Source organism: Homo sapiens, chromosome 7 (assembly GCF_000001405.40).
Source record: "Homo sapiens chromosome 7, GRCh38.p14 Primary Assembly".
Lineage (NCBI taxonomy): Eukaryota > Metazoa > Chordata > Mammalia > Primates > Hominidae > Homo > Homo sapiens.
Window position 1 is genome coordinate 107,028,425 of NC_000007.14, and position 12,008 is coordinate 107,040,432.

Here is a 12,008-nt window from a genome sequence, read left to right on the forward strand (position 1 = left end):
GTGGCTCACGCCTGTAATCCCAGCACTTTCGGAAGCCGAGGTGGGAGGATCATGAGGTCAGGAGATCGAGACCATCCTGGCTAACATGGTGAAACCCCATCTCTACTAAAAATACAAAAAAGTAGCCAGGCGTGGTGGCGGACGCCTGTAGTCCTAGCTACTCTGGAGGCTGAGGCAGGAGAATGGCATGAACCCAGGAGGCGGAGCTTGCAGTGAGCCGAGATCGCACCACTGCACTCCAACCTGGGTGACAGAGGTAGACTCCGTCTCAAAGAAAAAGAAAAGAGGGTAGGAGACAGGAGTGACAGAGAATGTAACACAAGAACACAGAAATAATTGGATTTTTAAGGAATTATTTGACACAAAATAGTGCAACCAGATTTTAGGAAGAAACTCTCTCTAAGGGGTAAAAATAAAAGCTCACAACAAAAAATACATAAAGAGTAGGTTGAAGATATTTATATTTAGATTCCTGTTATATTAACAATAAGTGCAAACTATAAAAATGAGTAGAAGAAGCCTATCAATAAATAATGAAAAGAGAAGAGATTGGCTTTTGATAAATACATTGTAAATGTTTCAAGTTTTTTCTTTTATCACCCAGAAAAATTTGTTTTAAACGTATTTATGAAGTTTTATGAACACAGCATTGGCAGCTTAAAAGTAAAACAACAACAACAAAAAAGAAGATTGTCAAGTATATTTTTCATGACTAATGCTGACCTGTCTGTCCCACTTCTGCTAGAATCAGAGGCTCCTGCAATTATGCAATAAAGCCCGCTGGGAGGATCAGACAGGGCCCTGCACACTGTGGGGAGATAGATGTGTTTTAGGGGAGGCAACCCTATGGAAAATGGCCACATCTTGCCAACTGCTGTCTCGGGGGCTTTGGCTCTAAACCAAGGATCTGCATAATGGTATCAGCTGCTCTCTCTATTGCAGCCCTGCTGATAACATTCTCAGGCTCTATTTAATAGCAAACAATGATGCGTTTCTGCCCAATACCAGCAAATCGGTAAAAAGGACGCATGTCCACTCACCTCTGAATTAAGTATCCCAGTTTATAGTCTCTCAGACCATCTTATATTTCTCATAATTATGTAATTTGTTTTCTATTTTTGTTTAATGTCAGTTTCTCCAACCAGGATATAAGGACAGGAACAGTTTGCCTCTATCCTAATTGTCCTTTGGTGTAACCATAACTTCTAGCATGGTGCCTTGCACAGAGTAAGTGCTATAAATAATGTTGAGTTCATGGATGAGCTCTCTCTCAGAGAGTCACTGCAGCTATTAAAGGATATGTTCCTTAATCTATGTCAAACAGGTAACTTTCTACAGTTTTAAATCCTGGAGAATGGTTGCATTTCAAATATCTTCCAAGGCTTATTCTTATTCATTTGCTTACTGCAGGTCTCAGCGTTAATGTTTTTGATTCATTGGGATGTGCTCCAAAAATAGAACATCTAATCTAAATACATAAATTGGCCCAGGACTGCATCCTGGACATATTATTATTATTGTTGATGATAAACTCAGGTTTCAACTCTCTTCCCAATAGCTTTCCATCCTCCCTGGATTATTTCGTGCCAAAAAAGGCATGCTTTATAGAGCTCTTAGTTCCTTAAGTGGCAGGTTCTATTTAAATACATAGATAAGCATTGTCAGGCTGGGCTGCTAAGAGTGAATTACTACTGGAAAGTAACATTGCAGTAAAAACAATACTGTTGGAAGCTTTCTATATTTCTTCCATCCTTCCTCGTTTCTTGGAAAACTTGAGAAGGGCCTCGTTTAAAGAAATTCCAAAGAAGAATAATTAAAAAACTAGCAATAGCTAGAAATGTCATTATAACATTATCATATATGCAAGCATATGCAAGCAGTAGGTATATTTGGTATTATAACTATTGCATGATCTTACTTTAACATAGCCCCTGAGAAATTCTGGGGAATTGCTCAAATCTTCCCTCAGTGCTTGTTTATATTTTAAAGAGTTTATGTGACTTTTTTATTTTTCTTTTTTTTTTTTTTCTGAGACAGAGTCTCTCTCTGTCACCCAGGCTGGAGTGCAGTGGTGCAATCTTGGCTCACTGCAACCTCTGCCTCCTGGGTTCAAGTGATTCTCCTGCCTCAGCCTCCCGAGTAGCTGGGACTACAGGTGTGTGCCACCACACCTGGCTAACTTTTGTATTTTTAGTTGAGACGGGGTTTTGCCATGTTGGCCAGGCTTGTCTTGAACTCCTGGCCTCAAGCCGTCTATCCACCCTCAGCCTCCCAAAGTGTTGGGATTACAGGAATGAGCCACAGTGAAGGCCTGTGAGGTGTTTTTTTTATTTATTTATTTTTATTTTTTAGCTTATGTCCAATCTTTTAAGACAACACCCTTATTCTATTAGGATCCATGAGGAGTAACACATTTCTTAGGAAAATGAAATTTTTCATAGTTTTGAAGTACCAGTGGTGCCTACAAGAAATGATTTAACAAAATTTAACCTTAGGTGTCCTCACTGAGTTAGGATGATTTCTTTCTTAATTTTCCCTGTGGCAGGGTAATGTCTTAGAAAAGAATGAGGTCTCTAAGCTGCTCTACAAACAGATCATTCTAGTTGATATGGTTTATATATATTCTGCTGACTCTGTTTCTGCTAGTAAATGGTTGGAAAACCTTGGTTTTGTCATTTTTAACCTCCATCTGGCCTCGCTTCTCTCAACTACAAATTGAAGGAAATGAATAAGATCAATGGTTTAGAATATTTAGCAACAAAACTCTTTCTTCAAATGAAATATTTTGTCAAAGCCTGAAGTATGGAATAGAATATGGCTCCAATTAATGTAGCTTGAAAATCACTAATCTAAATACTATCTTATGTCATTTGATTATGAAATATTATCATTTCCATTAATTGATTCATATCATATCCAGTGAGTATTAATAAACACTGAAATGAATTCATATAATATTCAGTGAGTATTTATTAATACTCATTGAATGCCTGCTAGGTACGCCTAAGGACCGCTAAGGATCCTGCTCTATCATGTGTGCAAGCCAGGTATCTTCCAATACATTATTTCCAAAGGGAGACCAAATGCCCAAAGAAACAAAAAGTTACAAGTACAAAAGAATGTACAACATAGACAGCAATTACTTCTGGCCAAGGGGTGAAATAAGTCTTCATGATGGGGTGGCACTTGAGCAGGAGGTAGGATTTTTGACTGGGGAGGATGGGTATGGATTTCCAAGTGGGGCAAACATAGTAAGTGAAGGTACGGAGACAGGAAATTGAAAGGTATGTTCAGAGAAAGGCAAGTGTTCCTGTTTGGTTATAGTATAAATGGTAAGATGGAGACTTTGAGCTAAAGCTGGGAAATTAGGTTGGAATCAGATTATGGAAGTCCTCAGATTTCATGATAATGAGGTTTGCTTTTATTCTCCAGGAAATACAAAGCCATTGGAAATTTTTTGTTTTATTTTTAGCAGAAAATGACATAAACAGAAATGTACCCAGAAAAGATTTCTCAAGTAATAATGTGTAACTAGAAATGGGAAAGACTGGAGACAGGATGGTTAACTGAGAGACAACAGTCCTGATGAGAAGTGATGAAGACCCAGCCTAGGATGGTGCTATGGACTGAATTGTGTCCCTTGCTCCAAATTCATATGTTGAAGTCCTAACCCCCAATGTGACCGCATTTGGAAACAGAGCTTTTAGGAGATAATTAAGGTTAGATTAGGTCATAAGGGTGGACCTTGTAGGACTGGGGGCCTGATAAGAAGAGGAAGAGACAACAGAGCCCTCTCTCCATGCACACACACCAAGAAAAGGCCATGTGAACACACAGTGAGAAGGTGGCCATCTACAAGCCAGGAAGAGAGCCATCACCAGACCTCAACCTGATCTTGGACCTCCATTCAAATAAATTTCTGTTGTTTAAGCCACCCAGTCTATGGTGCTTTGTTATGGCAGCCAGAGCAAACTAAGACAGACAGTGGCATTAGAAACGGCAGGAAGAAGACAAATGTCAGCAAGGTACCACAGAAGTAGAATTGACAGGACTTGACAACCAATCTGCTTTGGGACATGAGAGATGTTGGGGCTCAGAAAACAATGCCGTAAAATGAAGGCTTCAGAAGCAAAAGTGTTCTTTGGCCTCTCCTGTCCTGTCTCTCAGTCCCATTGTCTCCCAAGGCCAGCCATAGAAATTAGAATCCCTCTTCTCCAAGGTAGGTCACAGAAACCAGAACCCCTTTTCCCCCAAGATAGGCATAAAACCTAAAAATATTACTCTAACTTTCACTCTGCCTTTCTGTGTAAAAGCTTGCTATAAAGAAAATTATCTGACCTTATTTGACTGTAGGTCATAAGACCCCCATTCCACAGAGGGTCCTGCCCTCTACCCAGAAGGAAAGAATGCACACTCAGGGGCCAGGAAGAATCTAGACAGACAGGCCTTGCTGAGGTTCCCCGTTCTGTCTATTCACATCAGATCTTAATCTTTTTGTCCGGTCATATTTCTATATGGCCGTCCATACTTTGTTGAATTGAACCTAAGCATAAAAATGGGCAATTTCTCCTGTATCTGTGGGTCTTCCTTCTGAAAGCTTCCATGTATACATGTTAAGTAAATTTGTATGCCATTTCTGCTATTAATCTGCCTTTTGTGAGCTGAGTTTTTTTCAGTGAACTTTCAGAGGGCCAAGGGGAACTTTCTCCTTTGGCCCTTGCAGAGGCGAAAGTCAACTGTGGCTCTGAGAGTCTAAGCCGGAGACTAGAAGGTGTTATGACACCACTTACAGAGATAGAGAATGATAACGGGGAAGAACAATTCTGAGAGCACAGAGCTAGATTTTGTTTGTTTGTTTGTTTTGTGTTTTTTTTTTTTTTTGAGATGGTGTCTCACTCTGTCGCCCAGGCTGGAGTGCAGTAGTGCGATCTTGGCTCACTGCAAGAGAGCTAGGTTTTTTTTCCTGACAAGTTTGGTTATTGAATTTGAGGTGTTGGCAATGTACCCATATGCAGAGTCTTCCAGGAGGTAAATGAAATTGTGGCTTGGTGGTTAAGAGGGAAGATTGAATGAAAAATTTCATTTATTTTGGAGTCATCTGTAGAGGGATAACACCAAAGACTTGTCATTGATGAATAAAAACATTAATTAATGCACAATATGCTGCAGATAGAAAAAGATCTATACATCCACTACAAATCATACCCCTCTCTATGTCTGCTAGGTAGGCCTAGCTTGTGTGTGATTTTACAAGTTCTAGAACTTGTACAGTAAAAGAATTGGAAAATGTAGAATGTCTACCTTTAAAATGGTAAATAAAATGTACTTTAAACACCTGAAAGTATTCCCTTGTGCTTTGATACATGTGCAATCTGTTTCTGTTGGCAAGAGAAAGACTAAACAGAATTTAGCAGACCATACAGTTCAACAAACAAAAGATACTATGACCCTGAAGCAGGGTAAATGGTAAACTGTTCTTCAAATAAAGCACACATTTGCTCTAGGAGGACTGAAAGCAAAAATAGAACAGTCTATGCCATAGGGATGCTGATTAGCAAAAGAATTCTACACCTGGGAATCTTGCTTCTTCAATTTCACAAGTGACAATGGAGTAACTAAGTTGGAGAGAGAAAATGAGGATCAAGGGAAAAAAATCACAGAAATAGAACAAAACAATATAAAACAAACACAATAAATAGAGTATTTAGAGAACACCCTGAAGACTTTTCCCTGTAAAAAGTGGCTCTTTGTCTTAAGAGCCTCTGATTTCTAAAACTCACAAAACTTGAAGATGCAGGTTTGGAATTTCCCACTAAATGTTTAACCCACTAAATAGCAACTGGAAAATCTCGGCTATGTGGACCCTTATGCCCAGAAATAAAGGAAAGAGTTGTAAGAAATGCTGAGGCACCTGTAACCTAGTACCTGCTATAGAAATCCATACTCCTCAACTTAATCAAAGTGATGTGTGTATATCATTCCCATTTCTCAAAGGCACCTTCACTTATGTAAGTGATTTCTCTTGCTATTTAATGACATATTTCTAAATAATACATATGTTTTTATTTCTTGATTCATTTAGAATTTCCATTGACTTCCTGTTATGAAATATCAGAATTAGTGCCCCCACAACATATACACAGATACACACACACAGAAAAGTACACACAGTCACACAGACATATGCAATCTTCCCCTTCTCTTTTCTGCTCCTAAATCATACCACACTTCTTTGGTTGTATTGATACTTGTTTTCATTGTTGTGACTACATAAATATTGCTTATTGCTAAGGCACATAGTGTTCTATGACTTTATTTCCATTTTTTTCAACTTCTGTTTTCCCTGAAGTAGACTGCACTGTTTTCAATTGCCTTGTTTTCTTTTTTTGTTTTTTTTTTTTTGAGACAGAGTCTCACTCTGTCATCCAGGCTGGAGTGCAGTGGCGCCATCTCCAACTTAGTTACTCCATTGTCACTTGTGAAACTGAAGAAGCAAGATTCCCAGGTGTAGAATTCTTTTGCTAATCAGCATCCCGATGGCATAGACTGTTCTAATTAGACAGAGTCTCGTTCTGTTACCCAGGTTGGAGTGCAGTGGCGTGATCTTGGCTCACTGCAACCTCCGCCTCCCGGGTCCAAGCCATTCTCCTGCCTCAGCCTCCAGAGTAGCTGGGATTACAGGCACCTGCCACCATGTCCAGCTAATTTTTTGTATTTTTAGTAGAGACGGGGTTTCACCATGTTAGCCAGGATGGTCTCGATCTCCGGACCTCGTGATTCCCACCCTCGGCCTCCTAAAGTGCTGGAATTACAGGCGTGAGCCACCGTGCCCAGCCCTCAATCGCCTAGTTTTCTCTGAACTATAATTTATTTATTCCTCAAAGTCTCTGCCAGAGGTGTAGTTTTTCTCAATATAATCAAACACATGAGATAATTTATGAGTTTCTTTCCTTTTTCTTGGGGACTTCCTTCTCTATGTCTTTGATTTCATCTTCCAGTTGGACCTGGATGATCTCTAGACCTGCTGAACCACAGCTATCCCAGGTCCTTCATCACTATCCTGAGAATTATCAGTATATAAATAGAATTTAAAGCCACTGGACTTGATGAGATCACCCAGGGAGTGAGTGCAGAGAAAGATGTCTGGAGTGCTTCACCACTGAGAGGTCAGGAAGATGAGTCATATTCAGTAAAGAAGATGACAAGATGTGGCCAGGAGACAAGAGGAGAGCTAAGAAAAGGTGGAATCATGAAAGCTAAGTGAAGAAAGTATTTCACATGGGCTTTTTCAACATGGCTGCTTACTTCATCAAACCAGCAAGGAGAATCTCTCCCTTCTTAAAAGGGCTTTCCCCTGATTAAGTCAGGACCTGGATAATCTGTCTTTTAATTAACTAAAAGAAAAAAAAACTGCTTTGGTACTGCAATTCATTTAATTCATCTGCAAAATCCCTTCAACTTTGTTGTTTTTTTTATTGGCTAGAACAAAGTTACAGGTATCACTCATGCTCAAGAGAGGAGATTGTGGCCAGGCACAGTGCCTCACACCTGTAATCCCAGCACTTTGGGAGGCCAAGGTGGGTGCATCGCTTGAGGCCAGGAGTTTGAGAACAGCCTGGCCAACATGGTGAAACCCCATCTCTAATAAAATACAAAAATTAACTGGGCGTGTTGGTGGGCACACGTAATCCCAACTACTAGGGAGGCTGAGGTAGGAGAATTGCTTGAACCCAGGAGGCGGAGGTTGCAGTGAACTGAAATCGCGCCACTGCACTCCAGCCTGGGCAACGGAGCAAGACTCAGTCTCAAAAAAAAAAAAAAAAAAAAAAAAAGAAAGAAAGGGGATTGCACAGGACCTGAATAGCAGGGAGAAAGCAGTCACCCAAGAGTTTGTTTGCCACAGAATGGCTCAATTGAAGAGAAACATTGATGACACAGAAGAGAGAGGTGACAACTGCAGGAGCAATTTCCTTGAGTAGGTCAGAGGGAATGAATGGAGTACAGGTAGACAGAACATTAACAGACAGAAAGTGAAGTATGTGGGAACAGGTTTGGGTAGGCTACTTGATGTCATGGTGGGAGCATGTCTCAGTTCCCTTCTGCTTACTGGCGCCTGTATATTCTTGTTTCTCAGTTTATCTCCTCGTTTTGGTAAAACTTAGATTCTTGACAAAGGGAAATGGGAATTTATATTATGTAAAACTGACATGTCTGACAGTATCTTCAGTCTACCGTTATTTTGCTGAATATAGAATTTTGGGTTGAAAATAGTTTTCCCTCAGCATTTTGAGGATATTAGTTCTATTGTCTTCCAGCTACCAGTGCCATGTTGAGGAGTCTGATGATGTTCTGATTCCTGAGCTTTCAGATGTGATTTGTTCTAGTTTTGTCTCTTTTTGTCTTGTTTTGTTTTTCCTCTCTCTGAAAGCTTCTATACCCTTCTATTTATGTTAGTGTTCCGAAATTTCAGCATTCTGGACTTAGTGAGGATATTTTTATTTATTGTCCCATAAGCCTGTCCATGGGCCCCTCCAATCTGGAAATTCATATCATTCAATTCTAGGAAAAGTTACTGTATGATTTCTTTAATAATTTTCTCCATTTCTCATTGTCTTCTTTCTTGAACTATTTTTTCAATGTTAAAAATTAAATCCTTTAATTTTCTTATTTTTCTCTGCTATTTTCTAGATTTTTTATTTTGTTCTACTTTCTGGTAATTTCTTCAGCTTTATCTTGGACCCTTTTATAGATTATATATCTACTGTCATAGTTTTAATTTCTAAAAGTTCTTTCTTATTTCTTTAAAATATAGCACAGTGGCTCTAGAGCCAGACTGGGTCCCATCCCAGTACCATTTGCTAGCTATGGGATCTTGGGCAAATTACTTAACCTCTCTGTGCCTTGATTTATCCATCTGTAGTGTAATAATATATCTCTTAGAGTTCTTGTAAAAATTAAATGAGTCAATAGATATAAAGTATCTAGAACAGTATCTAATAAATGTTAGGAATTATTGTTATCATTATTGTATGTTAGAGAAAAATGCCTTTTTGACTTTTTGACTTTTTCTTCCGTTCACACTTCAGTTTTTACTTCTTTGATTTTATGTATTTAATTCATTTATCTTGATTCTAGTCTTTCATATGAATAAGTTTTCTTGGAAGTCAGGATTCTTGCACAATTTCATACTTGTAAAGTATGCGGAGGGGTGGTGGTTACTGACCAGTGGACTTCACAATGGAGTGAAAACACGGAGACCTGAGTTTTTCAATGGGGACCCTCCAATGTCAGCAACTGTAGGTCTTGTGTCTTGGGCTGGTCAGTTCCTTAAAAAGGAATTCTCTAATTTCCTGCCTAAGAGGGTATACATCTGTCTGTCCAAAATTTGGGGAGTCCAGAAGGGAAGGAGGCCACCGATAAGTAGCTCACTAATCAGGATCAATCTTCCTCTTTTTAGTATAGAATCTCATCCCCATAGTAAGCTGTGTAAACTTCTCTAGAAAATAAATTCCTCCACTTCCCCCTGGGAATGAAGAAGAGCAATTACTTGCCTACATAAGATAGAGAAGGGGCTGGAGGGTGGACAGTGTTATCAGCTCTTTCTACAGCCATTTAACCAATCCTCACCCCTTACCAGCCCTCCAGAGACACCTGGTGTCTTCAGACTCTGTGCTCTGTAATACAGATGTGATCTTGCTTCTTGTTGGCTTGCTCTCACTGACCCTTCACCCAGGCTTAGGTTCCAGCATTCTTCAGTTTGCTGTTAGTTCCAAAATTCTAGTAGACAACTCTCATCTGTTCTTGTCTCTTTTCCTATTCTTTTTTTTAATTAAAGAATTAATTTTTTTAAAATTTGTGATAAAGTACACATAACATGAAGTTTACTATCTTTATCGTTTTAAGTGTACAGTTTAGCGGTGTTATATATATTCACACTGTTGTGCAACCAGTTCCAGAACTTTTTCATCTTGCAAAACCAAAGCTCTTTACCCATTAAACAGCTTCCCATTCTCCCCTCCCCAGTCAGCCACTGGCAACCACCATTCTACTTTCTCTTTCTATAAATTTTGACTTTTCTAGATACTTCATATAAGTGGAATCATGCAGTGTTTGTCTTTTTGTGACTGACATTTCACTTAGCATAATGTCTTCTAGCATGTGTCAGAAATTCCTTCCTTTTAAGGCTGAATAATCAAAAAAAATTAAAATTATTTTAAATTTGTATTGTGGTTCTCCTGTTCTTTTTGTTGTTTGAGTTTTCCTGTGTTCCTTTAGCCATTATTTTAGTGGAGTAGAGATAAACTTCTGTGTCCAACGTGGTCCTTAATAGAAAACCCATATTCTGTTTATGAAATATGTTTAAGGACATATTCTTTGTTGCTTTTTAAGAATCTCTTTAACTTTGCAAGATTCCTTAAAGGAGAATAATGAGTATACATTTCGTCCTGATTTAGCCAAAGAAAAACTTATGCGTTGATATTAAGCAAAAAAAGTTGCTTCAAGCAGCTTCCTATTCAGCATGAACATAAGCTCTTCCTTAGTGAATCTAGCATAGTGGATCTCAAAGTGTGGTCCCGAGACCTACAGCCTAAGTATCACCTGAGTATTTGATAGACGTGCAAATTCTCGGGCCCCACCTCAGACTTACTGAATCTGAAACTCTGGGGGTGGGGCCCAGCAACTGTGTTTTAAGTAGCCCTCCAGGTGATTCAGATGCTTGGTAAAATTTGAGAATCACTAGTTTTCTAGCGGCAACCCTTTTGCGAAGTTGCACATAGAGATTAAACATTTTACTTACTTTTAGTCCAAATGTCTGTAAGATTTTCAGGCTATGAGGTGACCATCTTTTAGCAGGCATGTTGTGAAGTATCTGTACCACCTCTATAACATTGGGACTGTTCCCAATATTCGGGACTTTCCTCTGCTGAAGAGGCAGGCCTTATCATGTATTTATACTACCTGACCACTTCCTTATCTGGCACCCTACTGGCCACACTTACTAGACCAGTCAAGGCCAGGCAATCTACTAGATGGTCAAGACCAACTAACCTGATTCTCTCTTGAGAATATGAATCAGAGACACCAAAACTGTAGTCAGTGTTGAAATGCTAAAGGTACGTAAAACTGAGGCTGATGATCACAGTCAGCCTTGGGCAAGAACAGGCCCTGTATCCTCTCAATTGCCTCCTTTTTTTTCCTTGAGTGGGTATATATTTCTTGCACTCCAGAGACTTGATCAGGAAACACCTTAACTATTGACAGGAAATGCTGCATGATTGATTGGTCATAGTTATTATTCTGTACTGCTTGCCCAAGCCATTGACTTTGTTTTTTTGGCAGTTACATATAAGCAAGTTGATGGGTCTGTTTAATTTCCTGGTGTGAAAACAAATTTGATAGCACTCTTTTCATTTCAATGCTGAGCTCTCAGAGTTCATTTGCCATTGCTTCCAGTCTGATTCTCTGAGAAACTGGTGCAAATTGCTTTGCAAATCCACAACCAAAGAATCAGTATCAGTGATGCTCTTTTAAGGAATATGAGATACATAGTTCCCATAAGCCACTGTTCAAAAGGCTCAAAATGAAATATTCTGAAAATGAAAGCAAAAGAAATCATAAAATATTACCAAAAAGGTTATGTGGTAGTGAATAAAAGCCAGAATATGATTTGAGAAGTGAACATTTGTTCTGAGAACAATGCTAATGTAATGGGAATATCAGGACCAAGCTTTACTTTTTCAGGTCATGGTTATTGATTTAAGAACTGATGCAAATGAAAATTACCAAAGAGCTGTTTGCAAAGATGTTTCAAGTCCAATAAGTCTTGTTTTAGTATTATACTATTGTAAATCTCTCAGGATGAAAAAGACTATATAGGTCATCTAATCCAATTACGCATTTCATGCTTGAAATCATTGCTATATTCTTAAAGAAATGAGAACCACACAACCTTGGCATTGTGGTTGATGACAGAGAGCTATCTACCATGCTTCATATAATAAATCTAC

At 39.0% G+C, this 12,008-nt stretch overlaps 1 annotated feature.

Annotated features, from left to right (window-relative positions):
• Positions 6,941-7,376: a transcriptional cis regulatory region, noted in NCBI's record as "candidate enhancer chr7.4050 targeted for multiplex CRISPR interference". NCBI's record gives its function as "positively regulates PRKAR2B gene expression with high confidence in K562 cells {active_cell/tissue: K562}" and the evidence as "EXISTENCE:mutant phenotype evidence [ECO:0000015][PMID:30612741]".